Here is a 20,207-nt window from a genome sequence, read left to right as displayed (position 1 = left end):
AGTTCTGTAGATGTCTATTAGGTCTGCTTGGTCCAGAGCTGAGTTCAAGTCCTGGATATCCTTGTCAATTTTCTGTCTTATTGATCTGTCTAATATTGACACGGGGTTGTTAAAGTCTCCCACTATTATTGTGTGGGAGTCTAAGTCTCTTTGTAGGTCTCTAAGAACTTTTTTTATGAAACTGGGTGCTCCTGTATTGGATGCACATATATTTAGGATAGTTAGCTCTTTTTGTTGCTTTGATCCTTTTACCATTATGTAATGCCCTTGTCTCTTTTGATCTTTGTTGGTTTAAAGTCTGTTTTATCAGAGACTAAGATTGCAATCCCTGGTTTTTTTTTGCTTTCCATTTGCTTGGAAAATATTCCTCCATCAGCTGTAGATTTTTCATAAATGGCCTCTGTTATGTTGAGGAACTTTCCTTCTATACCTATACTATTAAAACTTTCAATAAAGAAAGAATGCTGAACTTTGTCAAACGCTTTTTCTTTGTCAACTGAGACCATCATGGGGGATCATCTGAGATTATGCTGTGAATATGAAGTATCACATTGACTAATTTACCCATGATCAACCAGCCCTACATGTCAGCAATAGATCCCACTTGCTCATGATGTTCAATTTTGTTGTTGTTTTCAATTAAGTTTGATAATGTTTAATTGTTGTTGTTGAATTCAGTTTGATAATGTTTAATTGAGCATTTTTGCATCAATGTTCATCAGAGATATTGCTCTGTAGTTTTCTTCTCCTATGGTGTCTTTCTTTGGCTTACGTCTTGAGGTGATGCTGGCCTCATAAAACGTGTTTGAAAATACTCCTTCTAGTGCGATTTTTTTGGAAGAGTTTAAGAAGCACTGATAATTCTTCTGTGAATGTTTCGTAGTATTCAAATGTGAAGGTGTGAAGCTGTGAAGCCACCTCGAAATGTTCTGACCTTTTTTGTTGAAACGCTTTTAATTACTTCTTCAACCTTTTTATTTGGTATTGGTTTGTCTAAGCTTTCTATTTCTTCCTGATTCAATCTTGGTAGCTTATATTTTTTGAGGAATTTATTCATTTCCTTTATTTTATCCAATTTGTTGGCATATAGTTTTTCATACTAGTCTCTTATGATCCTTTTAATTTCTTTGGTATCTACTATAATGTCTTCATTTTCATTTCTGATTTTATTTGAGTTTTTCTCTTCTTTTCTTAGTTTGCCTAGCAAGGATTTTGTCTATTTTATTTTATTTTTTTCAAAAAAAGCAACTCTTGGTTTTATTGATTTTTTTTTCTATAGTTTTTCTATTCTCTATTCGATTTAATTCTGGTCTAATCTTTATTATTTCTTTCCTTCTGCAAACTTTGGCTTGTTTTTCTTTTTCCAACTCCTTGAGGCATAACATTAGGCTATTTATTTGGAATCTTTCTTCTTTTATAATGTGGTCATTTATTGCTATAAGCTTCCCTCTTAGAATTACTTTTGCTGCTTCCCATAGATTTTGATACGTTGTGATTCTATTGTCATTTGTCAATATATTTTTAAGTATTGCTTTTGATTTCTTCTTTCACCTACTGGTTGGTTGTTCAGGAGCATGTTTTAAAACTTCTACATATTTGTACATTTTCAAGATTCCTTTTGTTTTTAATTTCTAATTTCATACCATTGTTTTCAGAAATAGTATTAGGTATATTCTTAATCTTCTTGAATTTGTTAAGACTTGTTTTATGGCCTAATATATGGTCTATCCTTAAGAATGTTCCATATGCACTAGAAAAAAATGTATGTTCTGCTGCTGTTGGATGGAAAGTGCTGAAGGTCTTTAGTTTAATTAAGTTCTATTTGCTAATTTTTGTTTTTATAGTGGCTTCCTTGGGGAGACTGTCACCTGCAGATATTGTCTGCAGGTATTAGTTGGGCAAAGTGCAGTGGCTCTCATTCTGGGTAGGCACAGTAGTGGAGTCCATTTCTCAGTGTAAAGGACTTTAAAGATCCTTCTGTTCTAGTTACCCCATAGTAGTAGATTTACCTGAGGGCATCTCTCTTGGTGTTGAGCCTGACACAGGCCAGAGGCAGCCAAGCAGTGCTGTGTTACAGGGAACAGGTGCTCAGAGTGGCTGTGGAGCTGGGGTCTGGGGCTCAGTGTCTTGTTGAACTGCCAGGACACCTGTGGTGTAGGTCCAGGTTTATTCTTTTAGGTATGGGTGATGCAGCTCTCCCACAAGGCCAAGTACTGTGATTCTGAGGCACTTCCCAGTATCTCAGGCCCAGGATCAGGCATGTTGCTGACTCATCCTGGGTGTTAGGGTGCAGCAATGGCATGGCTCTGGGAAGGAAGAGGTTTTCCAGAGGTTTAGGCCCCAATGAGCAGGGTACAATTGCAATTCAGGCTACAGAACCAATAGGACACAGTGGCAATTCATGCACCAAGAACTCTAAGCCCTGGAGTAATGGGACACAGCAGTGGCGCAGGCTCTGTGAGGTCAGGTGCAGTGACAGCAAGGTCCAGGAATGATGGGGGCACATCTGTGGCTTTGGCCCTGGGGGGTGTGCAGCAGTGCAATGTTGGCTTCACTCCTAGGGAGGTGGGGCACCTCAGCAACTCAGGCTGTAGAGGGCTTTCCCAATCCAGGGAGGCAGGGTGCTGTGCGTGTTCAGTCCAGAGGGCAGGGTGATCAGATCAGATTAGTGTTTCTCTAGGAGGCTGGCCTATGCCCATTTTAAAATTGAGTTCTGTTGTTGTGGTTGAGTTGTAGGAGGTCTCTATATATTCTGGATTATTAATACCTTATCAGATATGTGATTTAAAAATATTTTCTCCCATTCTGTGGTTTGCCTTTTTACTCTTGATATTTTCCATTGATGACTGAAAGTTTTTAATTTTGATAAATTCTAACATGTCTATTTTTTTGGACAGTGTGTTTGGTATCATCCAAGAAGTCATTGCCAAATCCAATATATGGTTTTCTCCTATGTTTTCTTCTAAGAGTTTTAAAGTACAGCTCTTAGTTTTAGGTTTTCGGTCTACTTTGAGTTAATTTTTGTCTGTGTAAGATAAAGGGCACAACGTCATTATTTTGCATGTGGATATCTAGTTTTCTCAGCATCATATGTTGTAAAGACTATTTTTTCCATACCGATTAGTCTTAGCACTCTTGTAAAAAATCATTTGACCATATATGTGAGGGTTTATTTCTCAGCTCTCTATCCTATTCCATCAGACTATGTGTTTGTCTTTAGGCCAGTACCATACTGTTTTGGTTATTGTAGTTTTGCAGTAAGCTTCGAAATTATGAAGTGTAAGTCTTTCAATTTTGTTCTTTGTCAAGATTATTTTGACTATCGGGTCCCTTATAGGGGCAGGGTCTCCAACTCCTGGTCTGTGGCCTATTAGGAACTGGGCCACACAGCAGGAGGTGAGCAGTGGGTGAGCAAGGGAAGCTTCATCTGTGTTTACAGCTGTTCCTCATTGCTGGCATTACCACTTGAGCTCTGCCTCCTGTCAGATCAGTGGCAGCATTAGATTCTCATAGGAGCACAAACCCTATTGTGAACTGCGCATGAGAGGGATCTAGGTTGTGTGCTCCTTATGAGAATCTAATGCCTGATAATCTATCACTGTCTCCCATCACCCCCAGATGGGACCACCTAGTTTCAGGAAAACAAGCTTAGGGCTACCACTGATCCTACATTATGGTGAATTGTATAATTATTTCATTATATATTACAGTGTAATAATAATAGAAATATAGTGCACAATAAATGTAATGCGCCTGAATCATCCTAAAATCATTCCCCCACCACCATTCCATGGAAAAATTGTCTTCCACGAAACCGGTCCCTGCTGTCAAAAAGGTTGAGGACTGCTGCCTTAAGATTCTGTATGAATTAAAAAAAAAAAAAACTTACATTTTTCTGTAAAAAAAGTATTTGGGATTTCAATAGAGATTGCACTGAATCCTTAGATCACTTTGAGTGGTACTGATATCTTAACAATATTATTTAATATTCTTAATATTTCCAATGCATGAAAAGTCTAGTTCTGGCTTAGGTGCTTGGAAATAGGCATTTCATGCATTTACTAGCAGAGCTATTAGCCATAGTAATTTGAAACGTTTGCTAATATCTATTAAAATTAAAATGATATATACCTTTAATGCACCAACCTCACTTACATGTTCTTTTTTATAGAAATGCAATCACTGTGACATAAATATATATGAACAATGGTATTTATTGCACCATTGCTTGTAGTGGCAAAAAACGATGATAAAATGTTATTCTGTAGAGGAATCGTTGAATAAATTAGGATGCATTCACATCATAGAATATCATGCAGTAGCTTAAAAATGTGACAGATGAAAGAAATTTCTATCAATTTACCTGGGTCAAAAGTGAGGAGGATATAAGCATATAAGCCTGTGGTTATTCAGAACCACAAACCACTGTTTACATATATATTTTTACTTGTTTGAAGAAAGGTTTGGGAAACCATGCCTCACCCATAAGGTTGGTTGTTTGAAGAAGGAAGCCCAGAGGTTTGAGGTTGGTAAATAGAGACGATGAGAATATAGCATAAAGTTTTATTTCATATGTCTGTATTGTAGTGATTCTTTTACCTTTATAGGTAGGTTTTCCAACTGTATTGGTCACAGTAGGCAGAGTAAATTCAATAGTTTTTTGGCTTAAGGTAACAACTTTCGAATGCCCTAAAAAAATGAGAACAGTGTTATTAAATTATGTGGTAAATTAAGTAATTTCAACTTTTAAAATGTTAAAATAAATCTTAGTATTCTAAAACACAGTTTCCTTACAACTTTTTTTCAGTAATTTAGATAAAGCAGCTTACCTGACACAAATATTTTCTCTCTGATTTTTTTCTTGCCTGGTATTTGATATTTATAAGAGTGCATTATAAGAGTACAAATCAAGAAAAAGAAAGACTAAAGCAAATTAACATAGGATCAGAAAACCAAATACCACATGTTCTTACTTACAAGAAGGAGTTAAACCTTGGGAAAGCATGGACATAAATATGGGAACAATAAAGTGGAGATCCCTAGTGAGGAGAGAGAGAGGGTCATGGGCTGAAAAACTGCCTATTGGGCACTGTGCTCACTGCCTGGGTGATGGGACCAGTCATATCCCAAACCTCAATGTCATGCAGTATACCCATGTAACAAACCTGCATATATACCCCATGAATCTGAAATAAAAGTAAAAAATATGAAAACAAATGAAGACTAGAAAGGTCATAGATAAAAATGTCAGAGAATGAGCCTTTTTGCAGGACAGTAAAAAATGTGAATAATTAAAATGCAAATTTTTAGATAAAGTTTTCATCTCTATATAAAACATTGTATCATTTTATTTAAAAAGAAGTTTATAGTCCCACAATGAGAAATCTAGTGCTATAATTAAGGAGGAGATACTAGAAATGCAATTGTAAAGATACATATTTTGAACACTGCTAAAAACAAAACTATATAATTAAAACTAGTTTCAACACCTGCTTATTTGGAGGAAAAATGCTGACATTAAAAGCAGAAGGTGAAACATTTGAATGGTACTTTCTCAAAGTTAGTAAAATTTTACATTAATATGTTGACTTTCCTCAGTATATTTTTTGCACAGAAATGAAACATTCAATTCTTCCATTCCTTAAGGCAAGTGTTTGCTTGAAAAATGTATATCTGCCATTATTTTTAGATTCAAAGGCCAAATGCTTTCGTGAAAAATTTTAAAATATTTTATGCTATTATAGTTTTCATTCAATCCATAAGAGAAGACCATTATTATTCCTCTGTAATCATAAAGCAAGAGTATAGATATTAGACTATTTAGACCATTTATTAATTTTATTCTCCTCTTTGTTTTCTTTAAGCATTATTATTACTGCTTATAATTAGTATATTCTTCAAATAAAAGTCTTGGGCTTAGAAAAAAAAACCCAAATTATAGGAAAAACCAGGAGCTACATTAATGAAAAGCAGTGTTGTAGGTGATATGAAGTAACAAGTGAACCCCAAATCAATTACATTTATCTAAAATATAATGAACAATGACTAACCCAGCTTGAGAAGCTATAAAAAGCTAGGAGTTCCAACCAACAAAACCCTCCTTTTGAGTCCTAGCCTATCTTGTCAACTTTATTTTGTATCCACTGAAGCCCAGGATTTTGCTTATTATTTTAAACTTTCCTCTTTTGTCATATATAATTTCTAACCATTTTTTCTTCTAGCTCACTGGGAAAGAACATGGATTTCACTTTCTTTGCTTACATTCATTTGCTTTTCCAGAAGCAAGCCCAAATATCTTTTTACTGTTTTCTTTTTCCTTTTATATTGCATGTAGTAAAAAAATAAGTAAAAGTAATAGTCAACTTTCTGCATTTCCTATTGATTTTTTACTTAGAACCTTTATGGATAGAAAGTGCCATGGATATTTATTTTAGAGCACAGAATAAATCAAAGAAAAATGATTTACATTTTTTAAAAGTTTCAAACTCTCAGGAGGCTAAGGCAGGAGAACCCAGAAGGTGGAGGTTGCAGTGAGCCAAGATCATGCCACTGCACTCCAGCCTGGGCGACAGAGCAAGACTCCGTTTATAAAAAAATAAAAAAAATTCAAACTCAATTAACTGTAGAAAATGTACCAGGGTGATAATTATATAATGATGCCTCTGGAGTGACAGATAAGAATCGAATCTTAGTTCTTAGATATTAATGGAGTTAAAAGCCTAGGTAGATGATAATGAAGGGAAGGGAAAAACTAAACATATGATTTATTTTTCTTCTCACCTATCCTTATGTTGTCTTTCTATTGTATGCTCTCCCTGGGGTTGCATAAAAGAGGGATACATAAATATAAGAAAGAGGTTATAAAATGAGTTTATCTCAGTCATCCACAAAATCTGCAGTAGTCAACAAGACAAGAAGGTGGAGAACAGAAATGGAGCTCCAATTTAGTCATAATGGAGAAGAGGAAGAGAAATGCCAGGGACAACTACTCATTGCTAAGAATGAACAAATGTTAGGTGCACTTAACTCACAATTTACTTTCATTTATATTTTGCCAAACTGTTATATGACTAAAGCTATTACAACTTGGTTATTTACATTTAGTTATAGCTTTATTTTAAAAATCACACTGTACACTAAAAATATTAAAAATTACCTGAAGGGAGTTGATTCAGTAAAGGAAGGTGGATGTCTTTAGAAAAGCTTGGACCAGCCCTATATGTTCTATAAATTGCTTTTGAAGGTGCAGTCACATAGGGTGAAGAGTACTCATAAGTTTCCTCTAGAAAAATTTGGAAAATATGTTAGCCATACAATAGATGACATTTGTAATTATTTTTAATACTCACACAGTATATATGCACACAACATCAAAGCATCTAAATATATAAAGCAAACATTTAAAAAAACTGAAAGGATACATAGACTGCAACAAAATTTCAATATCCCCTATTATTGAACAAGAGACAGGTCATCCAGATAGAAAATAAATAAACACTGGAATTGAACTACACATAAGATAAAGCATATTTATCAGACAATTACACAATGTTCTATCCAACAGTAACAGGATACACATTCTTCTCAAGTGCACAAAGAACATTCTCCAGAACAGATCGTATGTTAGGCCACAAAAGAGGTCTTAACAATGTAAGATCAAAATTACATCAAATATCAACTAGATATCAGTAACAGGAGAATAAAAAGAAACTTAATAAATCTTTGAAACATTAAACAATATGCTCCTGAAGAACTACTGTGTCAAGAAGGAAATTAAAAAGGGAAATTTAAATATATCTACAGACAAAAGAAAATAAAAACGTAACATACAAAAACTTAATGGGATGCGGCAAAAGTAGTCCTAAGAGGAAAGTTTATAGCATTAAATGTCTACATCATAAAAGAAGAATCAAATAAACAACCTAAAATTACACTTCACAGAAGTAGTAAAAGCAGAACTAAGCATAAATCTACCAGAAGAAAAAAAAATAAAGATCAAAGCAGAAATAAAGAACACAGAGACTAGAAACGATCAATTCCATTTGCCCCAGCCTGCATTCCATTCTGGTATCCTCCAATATCCTGGTTCATTTATTTTTTCATGTATGTTTTTACTGAGAAAATTATAATGCTATTGAAGGGTGAAATAGGTGACCTTACTGTATGGATTATTGACTGCCATATTTGCCTTCGTTTCTCCCTGCTGTTTGTTAATGGGAGTGTCTTCTGTGGTCTGTCCCTGTCTCACCACTGTTACATTGCATGTCTCTGTGTGTGTGTGTGTGTGTGTGTGTGTGTGTGTGTGTGTGTGTGTTGTCAGAGACAAGTGACATTTCAAAAAAAATCTCTGAATCAAAAGAAGTCATATCATAGAAGCTGCCTCTGAAAATGATTATATATCACAATATCGTGGTCTTTGGCACTGATGCCAAAATTGGATAAGAATTTGTGGGGTCCTGGGAAGAGCTGATTCTATTTTGCATGTGGGAGGGCCATGAATATTCTCAATCAGCAGGAACACTGTGGTGGATTGATTTCAGTGACGGTCTCTGTGTTCTTGCCTACTTGTATTGATGTTCTTCCATACTAACTCTGGTCTTAGTTATATGACTTTGGTGAATATGACAAAAGTAAATGAATGTGAGCAGAGACTTCAAAACTGCTCATACATTGAGGCTTGCCCGCATGCTGCTCTTAGAACTTGAAGACTCCTAGCTAGTTGGCTGGATGATGAGAAACATGCAGCCAAGTCACCTCCTGGGCCAGTTATTAAGTTTAGCCACCAAACCACCCTTCTACACTCTGCTTCATGATACTGGATCTGGGGATTCTGCAGACCACATTTTTGCTTTGCAAAGTAGCTCCAAGGTAGGCCGTGCAAGATAGGCTAGATAGAGGAAATCTGCAAATTTGGAGGAAAAAGGACAGACTTGTTCTTCTCATTTTGTTCCTGGTGGGCTTTGAGAGCTTCCTGTCTCTTTTCAGTTTCTGTGAAGAACATCCTGGTATTGTTTCCTTATCCCAAAAGTAGCAATTCCTCCCATGGCAACAAAGAGTTTGCATTTTTTTCCACCATTTGAAGAACCAGTTTTATTATTCCTCCCCACTTAGAAACTAGCAGTAGATGGCCAGTGCCCCCCGCCTTCAGAAGTAGGGATCCAAGTTCCCCCCTGCAGAATCAGGGACACTAGCATCATCCAATCTATACCCTATGCAGAGGTCTCCTTCAGTTCTGCGTATGGCAATTTCTTTCTGTAATTGCTTCCTCCATGTAACCTTAGACTTCTTTTAATACTTTCAGTTACCAAGTTAACAACTTTATACTTAGTCATCTACTTTTTACACTCTTGCTTTCTATTTTTCTTTTCTTTTTTTTTTTTTTTTTTTGAGACGGAGTCTTGCTCTTTCGCCATGCTGGAGTGCAGTGGCGTGATCTCGGCTCACTGCAACCTCCACCTCCTGGATTCAAGCGATTCTCCTGCCTCAGCCTCCCAAGTAGCTGGGACTACAGGCACGTGCCACCATGCCCAGCTAATTTTTGTATTTTTAGTAGAGACAGGGTTTCACCATGTTGGCCAGGATGGTCTCTATCTCTTGACCTCGTGATCTGCCTGCCTCGGCCTCCCAAAGTGCTGGGATTACATGTGTGAGCCACCGCGCCGGGCCCTCTTGCTTTCTTTTTGAACAACCAGTAAAGTTTCTATTTACTGAATGGGCCCACTCTACACCATTGTCTCAAACAACAGCCAGCCAACCGCCATACATATGGGTGAATTGATAATTTGACCAGAAATGCATAAGTTAGCCCAGCCAAGACAATCATCAGTTACCTAAGTGGTTACTGTTTTATGCTTTTTTAAGTTTTAGGGTAGATATGGAGTAGTAAAACACTAACAAATATGAAAATAAAAATTAAAATAAGAGTGAGATATAATTTAGTAACTTTCGGATGGGTATAAATGAAAAAAAAAAAACAAAACCCAGCAATCCATATTGCAGATACTTACACACAGAAGAGAATTTTCCCTAAAGATTGCTGATGAAAATGTTAATTTTAATAGCTCTTTAGGAAAGCAATCTGGAAATATCATTTAATGATAAAAATCCATGTATAATTTAATAAGAAATCTCAAGCCTAAAAAGTCAATGCTCTTTAGTAGAATGATTGAATAAAGTGTTCTTACTATGAAGTATCATGCTGCCAATAAAAAGGATGAATTAAAACCATTTTATTTTTACGCTTGTAAGAATTTTCCTAAGATATTTCTGAAAAAAAAGTAAGATGCAAAAAGAGTAAATGAAAAAGCATACTTTAAAACTATTCTAGGTAATTAGATACTGAATTCATATCTACATACATAATTCTTTACCTTTATTTTCAAAGGGTGATAAATTGATCACTTTTGTTGGGAATTTACTTGGTGTAATGCTCCTAGTAAAGATACCTTCTTGACGTTGTACGGACATATCTTTGTTTTTAAATAAGTTCACATCTAAAATAAAATTTTAAAAGAAAAAGTGCATGAATACTCTTGACTATTCACACACTAATCCCATCTCCACGTATTTGTCTTTATTTCTGCCTTGGTAATTTTTCTTCCCACATTTTATTAAATGGCCACTTGTTTATTACTTAAATTTCTGTGTAGTCTCTCATCATTTTCTCTTTCTTGTCTTTGTTCTGCATTCTGTGACAGTATCTTCCTTAATTTCAACCTTTATCCCAGCTTTATTTTACTTTGACCAAATGTTCATTTCTATAATTGATCCATAGTCTACATTTAAAAGGATACACTTAGAAAGATAGTTTTGGAGGTCAGAAGTCTATGTATAAGCTACTGGATCCCCCCTGCCCCAATTGAACCAATGTTTATTAGATTTATTTTTCATAAATTCTATTGCTATAAAAGTAACATGGATTATTGTAGAAAACATTTATTTAAACAGAGAATTATAAACCTCATATTTTTTAAAATCATTGTCTAGAGGTTTTAAAACTTTCTAGCTAATTTCCCATTGATAATACGAGAGTTTAACTAATTATATGAGAAAATTCATGAAGACATTTGCCCATGAAATATTAACATATAGGTACTGTTATCATTAAAGATTCATACTTAAACCCCAGAGAAGATAAACTGTAAATATTAGACTTAAAATTATTATTCTTACCATAGTGAGTCCTTAGTTGTGTCTTTATCTCACCAATTGTTTTACTTGAACCAATGGCATTTGTCAAGGGTTCTACATCAGTCTCTATAGACATAAAACACATTTCAAAACACTTTTTAAGGTAACCATTTATGTTACACATGTATTTTAGTTCTTTTTTCTTTTGAAATTTCTTTTTCTTTTCTTTTCCTTTTTTTTTTTAGAGACAGGATCTTGTTCTGTCACTCAGGCTGGAGTGCAGAGGTGTGAACATGGCTGACTGCAGTTTCAACCTCCTGGGCTCAAGTGGTCCCCCGCCTTGGCCTCTCCAAGTAGCTGGGACTACAGGTGTGCACCACCATGCCTGGCTAATTTTTGTATTTTTTGTAGAGATAGGGTTTTGCTGTGTTGTCTTTTGAAATTTCTATATTATTTGCTGATATCTCTGTTACCTTCCTTTTCTTCCTTAAGAATAATTTCCTTTAACTCTAAGAACACACTTATAATAAGTGCTTTGAGGTTTCGTTGGCTAGGTCCAACACCTGGAACTCTCACAAACAGTTATTGTGGCATGCCCTTTTCCTTGGTGTAGGTCACACTTCACTGTTTCTTTGCATGTTAATAATTTTTGCTCAAGTTTTGACAGTTTCCGTAGTATATTGTAGCATCTCCAGGTACTGATTTCCTCCTCCTCTATCTGGGGCTTGTCATTGTTCTCTCCTTATTTATTTGCATAGCGATGTGACTGGGCTATTGTACTAAAGTCTCTTGCCTGTAGTGTGAAGTGCTACTGCTGCTCTCCAAGGGGCAGAGCCTTGAACATGCATCCAGTACCTTGGATAACATTGGTTTTAGAGGGCCGGCTTCGAATGTGTCTCTTTACCTTATTTCTCTGTTAAGCTGTCTGCCTCTTTTTGTATCACACCAGAGATAAAGAAAATTGTATAACTACATAACACCCTTACACCAAGATGAAAGCCAGTAATGTAATCTCTGAATTATGTAACACAAATAAAGTACTGTATTGCAGGTGAGATTTTATAAATTTGCCTGACATTTTTATCAAATAGAAGGAATGGATAACCAGTGAAATAATTATGTGTTATACTCCTCTTGTCATCGCAGTCTTCAGCTAGCCTTTGTGCTTTTGCCTTTCTGCTTTTGCTAATTAAATATCACTTTTCAGAAACAAAAGTAAGTAGAATAGCTTTGGAAATGCCTACATTGAGACTACTCTAAGGTAACTGTAACACTGAATTTTTATGCATTACTTTTCAAATGGATGAGTTTTAAAACCAATAATATGCTAATGTTCCACTGATAGTAAATGCTAGAGCTTAATTAAAGGATATTCATGATGAATTTTACCTATGTAACACTAACATGTAGGCACTATTGTCATTAAATGTCTATACTTAATTTAACTCAGGGAACATAAATAGGTCACAAATATTAGACTCAAAAATTATTTTTCTTACCCTGGTGACTCTTTAATTGTGCACTGATTGGTCCCTTTATTATATCTCTTCCAATAGCATCTTTTAAGAGTTCTTTATCAGTCTCTATAGAATTAAACAGATTTCAAAATACTTTATAAGGTAAACATTACCATACATGTGTATACGTGTGTGTTTAACTAATTATAGAAGGATATTCATGAAGAATTTCACCAATGTAACACTATGATATAGGTACCTATGTAATAATAACATGTAGACACTGTTGTCATTAAAGGTCTATACTTAACTCAGGGAACATAAATAGGTCACAAATATTAGACTCAAAAATTCTTTTTCTTACCCTGGTGACTCTTTAATTGTGCATTGATAGTCCCTTTATTATATGTCTTCCAATAGCATCTTTTGCTATGGAAAGTACTATGATACAGGTACTGTTGTCATTAAAGGTCTATACTTCAATTTAACTCAGGGAATATAAATAAGCCTAAATATTAGACTTGAAAAATTCTTTCTCTTACCTCGGTGACTCTTCAGTTGTGTAGTGATTGGCCCTATTATTATACCTCTTCCAATAGCATCTGCCAAGAATTCCTTATCAGTCTCTATTGAAATAAAACAGATTTCAATATATTTTATAAGGTAAACATTACCATACCTCTGTGTGTATCTGTGTGTGTGTGTATGTGTGTGTGTGTGTGTGTGTGTGTGTAATTATGGAAGGGTATTCATGAAGAATTTTACCTGTGTAATACCAACATATAGGTACTATTGCCATTAAATGTCCACACTTAATTTAACTCCAGGAATATAAATAAACCATAAATATTAGTCTTGAAATTGTTTTCTCTTACCTGGGTGACTTTTTAATTGTGTCGTGGTTGACTCCTTCATTAGACCTCTTCCAGTAGCATAGGCAAAGAAGTTCTTATCAGTCTCTATAGAAATAAAACAGATTTCAGTATATTTTGTAAGATTATCATTACCATACTTGTGTGTGTTTTTGTGTTTAATTATAGGAGGATATTCATGAATAATTTTACTTATGTAACACTATAATATAGGTAGTTTTGTTATTAAAGGTCTATACTTAATTTAACTCAGGGAATATCAATCAGCCATAAATATTAGATGTGAAAAATTCTTTTTCTTACTTTGGTGACCCTTTAGTTGTGCATTGATTGATCCCTTTATTATACCTCTTCCAGTATCATCTGCTAAGTGTTCCTTATCAGTCTCTATATAAATAAAACAGATATCAATATATTTTGAAAGGTAAACATTACCAAATCTGAGTATGTGTATGTGTTTAATTATAGGAGGATATTCATTTAGAATTTCACCTATATAATACTAACATATTGGTACTATTGTCATTAAAGGTTCATACTTAATTTAACTCCGGGAATATGAATAAACCATAAATATTAGTCTTGAAAAAAATTTTTTTTACCTTGGTGACATTTAAATTGTGTTTTAATTGACCCCTTTATTATACCTCTTCCAATAGCATCTGCTAAGAGTTCCTTATTAGTCTCTATAGAAATAAAGCAGATTTCAATATATTTTATAAGGTAAACATTTTATGTGTGTGTGTGCATGTGTAGTGCACATGTGAGTTTTTATTATTATAGTAGAAGAGTCACAACATGTCTTATTGCAGTAAGCATCACAAAACAGAATTTGAAGGGCTATTAGAACTCATATAAGCCTATTATATTGAAGTTCAGAGATGCTTCATGATTTGAACAAGACCACATCAAGATAATGACAAAATTGATGTACAAACTGACACTTTATAATTCCTTAACCACTGACTTTACCATATAATGCATCTCTTATGCAAATTAAAATTATCCTAGAAAGTTTATGATGATAATATAACCTTAAATTTACACCAAGAGCACTATCTACTGTGGGATGTACCTGGTGAGATAAAACATAACATTTTTAAAAATAGGTCAATTTGCAAACCATGGTCTCCACAGTCACAGAGAGTTATGTGGGGCAAAGTACTTTGATTTGTTCATAAAGACTTCATGTCATTTCTAAGATTTGTAACTATAAATCAAGTATGTATCAATAATGTAGAAAAATAATTAGATATTTTGTGGAATATGAAAATGTGACTTTCATATCTTCTTGAGTTTGTAGACTTTGTACTTGGGGAGGACGAAGTAAGTAAACTTGTAGTAGCATAAGCATTGAGATTGCATTCCTTTCCACTGGAGTTTTTATGTGATTTGAATTTTTTGCTAGATTTGAAAATTACTGACTAGGTCATATAACAGGAAAAATACATGAAAGTTATGAAAGGAGAGTTCATATTGAACAGGGACAATTAGAATGGGTGACTTGGGTCAACTGGTGAACCTAATATTTTGTGAGAGAAAGTTGTTTATAGCAGACTATATAACTAAAGTTGGAAACCTATAATGACCCAGATACCATAGAATGGAAGTTTTGCTCTGAAGAAATGTCTGAGCTCTTGAATAAATGTTAAGTATTACAGTGTAACATTTGAAGCCCAAATATACCACCAGTGAAATCTAAACCAAAGTATGGACCAGCTGAGGCATCATTACCAAAATGAACCGAGACACATAAGAATATATTTTCCATAAGTACACAGCTATATTTTGTGAACATAAGCACATCTATAGAAACATAAAAATAGGGAATATGAGCAGTCATATAGCCTCTCCGATTATTACTCCAACTAGCACACATAAGAAGGAATGGTTCATTTCAAGTGAGTATGCAAAGATTCTTAGATAAGCAGAGAGGCAACAAGAAGAGCATTTTAGGGGAGATAAGGTTAAGCATTTAGGAAGAGAATCTATGTGCTAAAGTAATTTACAATCTAGTAACATTCATGTTTCCTCCCTCACAGTATCCTCTCATTGCTTTAATTCTTTTTAAATATGATCCTGCCTGGAATTCACTGAGGTATTTTTACAAAATAAATAACATACCATGCTATATGCCTATGTAAAGTGTTCGATTCAATGTTTTTTAAGATGTTCACATATTTGTGTAGCTCTGACCACAGTCAATTTTAGATTCTACTTGAGTTTATACTAATCAAATTCCAGTGAAGTACAGAAATATTACTCCCATATAGCATTATTCCTTCTTCAACATTTTTGCACTACTATTATGTGTATTACTACTATATATAAAAGACATTGTTATAATTGTTGTTATGATTAATTATTTATATAATACTGTGCCTTTTAATTAAGCTAAGAAAGAAGAGCAAGTACATATTTTTAGTGTTTACTATACTAACCTTCTTATTTATATATTTTTTTGCATTTGTTCCGGTGGATTTGAGTTACCGTCCAGTGTTATTTTATTTTTTAAATTTTTTAAAAAAATTTATTTTTTTATTTCAATAGGTTTTTGGGGAACAGGTGGTGTTTGGTTTCATGATTAAGTTCTTTAGTGGTGATTTGTGAGATTTTGGGGCACCCATCACCTGAGCAGTGTACACTGTACCCAATGCATAGTCTTTTGTCCCTTGCCCCCCCTACTCTTTCCCCAAGTCCCCAAAGTCCAACATACCATTCTTATGCCTTTGCATCCTCATAGCTTAGCTCCCACATGAGTGAGAACATACAACGTTTGGTTTTCCATTCCTGAGTTAGTTCACTTATAATAATAGTCTCCAATTCCATTCAGGTTGCTGCAAATGCCATTATTTTGTTCCTTTTTATGGCTGAGTAGTATTCCATAGTATATACACACCACATTTTCTTTATCCATTCATTGATTGATGGGCATTTGGGCTGATTCCATATTTTTGCAATGGCAAATAGTACTGCTATAAACATATGTGTGCAAGTATATTTTTGTATAATGATTTCCTTTCCTCTGGGTAGATACCTAGAAGTGGGATTGCTGGATCAAAGGGTAGATCTACTTTTAGTTCTTTAAGGACTTTCCACACTGTTTTCCACAGTGGTTGTACTAGTTTACATTCCCACCAACAGTGTAAAAATGTTTCCTTTTCGCTGCATCCATGCCAACATCTGTTATTTTTTTATTTTTTGATGATGGCCATTCTTGCAGGAATGAGATGGTATTGCATTATGGTTTTTATTTGCATATCCCTGATAATGAGTGATGTTGAGCATTTTTCCATATGCTTGTTGGCCATTTGTATATCTTCTTTTGAGAATTGTCTATTCATGTCCTTAGCCCACTTTTTGATGGGATTTTTTTTTTCTTGCTGATTTGAGTTCTTTGTAGATTCTGGATATTAGTCTTTTGTCGGATATATAGATTGTGAAGATTTTCTGCCACTCTGAGGGTTGTCTGTTAACTCTGCTGATAATTTCTTTTGCTGTGCAGAAGCTTTTTAATTTAATTAAGTCCCATCTATTTATCTTTGTTTTTGTTGCATTTGCTTTTGGGTTCTTTGTCATGAAGTCTTTGCTTAAGCTAATGTCTAGAAGGGTTTTTCCAATGTTATCTTCTAGAAGCTTATGATTTCAAGACTTAGATTTATCTTTGATCCATCTTGAGTTGATTTTTGCATAGAGAGATGAGGATCCAGTTTCATTCTTCTACATGTGGCTTGACAATTACTCCAGCAACATTCGTTGAATACGGTGTCCTTTCCCCACTTCGTGTTTTTGTTTGTTTTGTCGAAGATCTGTCGGCTGTAAGTATTTGGCTTTATTTCTGGGTTCTTTATTCTGTTCCATTGGTCTATGTGTGTATTTTTATACCAGTACCATGCTGTTTTGGTGACTATGGCCTTATAGTTTGAAGTTGGTAATGTGATCCCTTCAGATTTATTCTTTTTGCTTAGTCTTGCTTTGGCTATGTGGGCTTTTTTTGGTTCCATATGAATTTTAGGATTGTTTTTTCTAGTTCTGTGAAGAATGATGTTGGTATTTTGATGGGAATTGCATTGAATTTGTAGATTGCTTTTGGCAATATGGTCATTTGTTTGTGTCGTCTAGGATTTCCTTCAGCAGTGTTTTGTAGTTTTCCTTGTAGAGGTCTTTCACGTCCTTGGTTAAGTATATTCCTACCTTTTTTTGTTTTTTGTTTGTTTGTTTTGGCAGCTATTGTGAAAGGAGTTGAGTTCTTGATTTGATTCTCAGCTTGGTCACTGTTGGTGTACAGCAGCACTACTGATTTGTGTATATTAAGTTTGTATCCTGAAACTTTGCTGAATTCATTTACGAGTTCTGGGAGCTTTTTGGATGAGTCTTTAGTGCTTCCTAGGTATATGATCATATCATCAGCAAACAGTTACAGTTTGATTTCCTCTTTACCAATTTGGATGCCCTTTATTTCTTTTCCTTGTCTGATTGCTCTGGCTAGGACTTCCAGTACTATGTTGAATAGAAGTGGTGAGAGTAGGCATCCTTGTCTTGTTCCAGTTTTCAGGGGGAATGCTTTCAAAACCCGTTCAGTGTAATGTTGGCTGTTGGTTTGTCATAGATAGCTTTTATTACCTTATGTTATGTTCCTTTTATGCCGATTTTGCCGAGGGTTTTAATCATAAAGCGATGCTGGATTCTGTCAAGTGCTTCTTCTGCATCTATTGAGATATCATGTGATTGTTGTCTTTAATTCTGTTTATGTGGTGTATCACATTTACTGACTTGCATATGTTAAACCATCCCTGCATACCTGTTATGAAACCCACTAGATCATGGTGGATTATCTTTTTGATATGCTCTTGGATTTGGTTTGGTAGTATTTTGTTGAGGATTTTTTCATCTATGTTCATCAGGGATATTGGTCTGTAGTTTTCTTTTTTTGTTATGTCCTTCCCTGGTTTTGGTATTAGGGTGATACTGGCTTCATAGAATGATTTAGGGAGGATTCCCTCTTTCTGTATCTTTTGGAATCACCTCAGTAGGATTGGTACCAATTCTTCTTTGAATGTCAGATAGTACAGCCGTGAATCCCATTTGGTCCTGAACTTTTTTTGTTGTTGGCAATTTTTAAATTACCATTTCAATCTTGCTGCTTGTTATTGGTCTGTTCAGAGATTCTATACCTTCCTGGTTTAATCTAGGGGGATTGTATATTTCCAGGAATTTATTCATCTCCTCTAGGTTTTCTAGTTTATATGGGTAAATGTGTTCAGAGTAGCCTTGAATAATGTTTTATATTTCTGTGGTATAAGTTGTAATAACTCCTGTTTCATTTCTAATTGAGCTTATTTGGATCTTCTCTCTTCTTTCCTTGGTTAATCTTGCTAATGGTCTATCAATTTTATTTATCTTTTCAAATAACCAGCTTTTTGTTTCATTTATCTTTTGCATTTTTTTGTTTCATTCTTGTTTAGATCTGCTCTGATCTTTGTTATTTCTTTTCTTCTGCTGGGTTTGGGTTTGGATTGTTCTTGTTTCTCCAGTTCCGTGAGGTGTGATCTTAGATTGTCTATTTGTGCTCTTTCAGACTTTTTGATTTAGGCATTTAATGCTATGAACAGTTCCTCTTAGCAATGCTTTTGCTGTATCCCAGAGGTTTTGATAGGTTGTGTCACTATTATTGTTCAGTTCAAAGAATTTTTAAATTTCCATCTTGATTTCATTGTTGACCCAATGATCATTCTGGAGCAGGTTATTTAATTTCCATATATTTGCATGATTTTTAGGGTTCCTTTTGGAGTTGATTTCCAATTTTATTCCACTGTGGTCTGAGAGAGTACTTGATATAATTTCGATTTTCTTAAATTTACTGAGACTTGTTTTGTGGCCTGTCATATGGTCTATCTTGGAGAATGTTCCATGTGCTGATGAATAGAATGTATATTCTGCAGTTGTTGAGTAGAATGTTCTGTAGATATCTGTTAAGTCCATTTGTTGTAGGGTAGAGTTCAAGTTCATTGTTTCTTTGTTGACTTTCTGCCTTGATGATTTGTCTAGTGCTGTCAGTGGAGTATTAAAGTCCCCCACTATTATTGTGTCATCTCATTTCTTAGGTCTAGTAGTAATTGTTTTATAAGCTTGGCATTTCCAGTGTTAGGTGCATATACATTTAGAATTGTGATATTTTCCTGCTGGACTAGCCCTTTTATCATTCTATAATGTCCCTCTTTGTCATTTTTAACCGCTGTTGGTTTAAGGTTTGTTTTGTCTAATGTAAGAACAGCTACTTCTGCTTGCTTTTGATGTCCATTTGCACAGGACATCTTTTTCCACACCTTTACCTTAAGTTTATGTGAGTCTTTATGTGCTGAGTCTCCTGAAGACAGCAGAAACTAGGTTTTTCTTATCTATTCTGCAGTTCTGTATCTATTCTTATCTATTCTGCCATTCTGTATCTTTTAAGTGCAGCATTTAGGTCATTTACATTCAATGTTAGTATTGAGATGTGAGGTACTATTCCATTCATCTTACCATTTGTAGCCTGAATACCTTTTTTTCTCCCCACTGTGTTAATGTTATATGGGTCCTGTGAGATTTATGTTTTAAGGAGGTTCTATTTTGGTGTATTTTGAGGGTTTGTTTCAAGATTTAGAGCTCCTTTTAGCAGTTCTTATAGTACTGGCTAGGTAGTGGCAAATTATGTCAGCATTTGCTTGTCTGGAAAAGACTGTATCTTTCCTTCATTTATGAAGCTCAA

General features: G+C 34.7%; 1 protein-coding gene across 39 annotated transcripts in view; it reads right to left on the bottom strand.

Annotated features, from left to right (window-relative positions):
• CCDC7 (coiled-coil domain containing 7) overlaps positions 1-20,207 on the bottom strand; it is a 439,541-nt gene that overhangs the window by 23,776 nt on the left and 395,558 nt on the right. For 36 of the 39 annotated variants that reach the window (XM_047425743.1, XM_047425742.1, NM_001321115.2 and 33 more), the window contains 8 exons: positions 13,763-13,846; positions 13,463-13,546; positions 13,130-13,213; positions 12,630-12,713; positions 11,173-11,256; positions 10,371-10,493; positions 7,157-7,282; positions 4,600-4,689 (listed from right to left, as the gene is read on the bottom strand). In XM_047425743.1, the coding sequence (XP_047281699.1) occupies positions 4,600-4,689; positions 7,157-7,282; positions 10,371-10,493; positions 11,173-11,256; positions 12,630-12,713; positions 13,130-13,213; positions 13,463-13,546; positions 13,763-13,846 (759 nt within the window). The remainder of the gene's footprint in view (positions 1-4,599; positions 4,690-7,156; positions 7,283-10,370; positions 10,494-11,172; positions 11,257-12,629; positions 12,714-13,129; positions 13,214-13,462; positions 13,547-13,762; positions 13,847-20,207) is intronic. The other 3 variants (XM_011519667.1, XM_047425744.1, XM_011519674.1) reach the window with 1 other exon arrangement.

Source organism: Homo sapiens, chromosome 10, assembly GCF_000001405.40.
Source record: "Homo sapiens chromosome 10, GRCh38.p14 Primary Assembly".
Lineage (NCBI taxonomy): Eukaryota > Metazoa > Chordata > Mammalia > Primates > Hominidae > Homo > Homo sapiens.
This window is presented reverse-complemented; position numbering and strand designations above follow the sequence as displayed.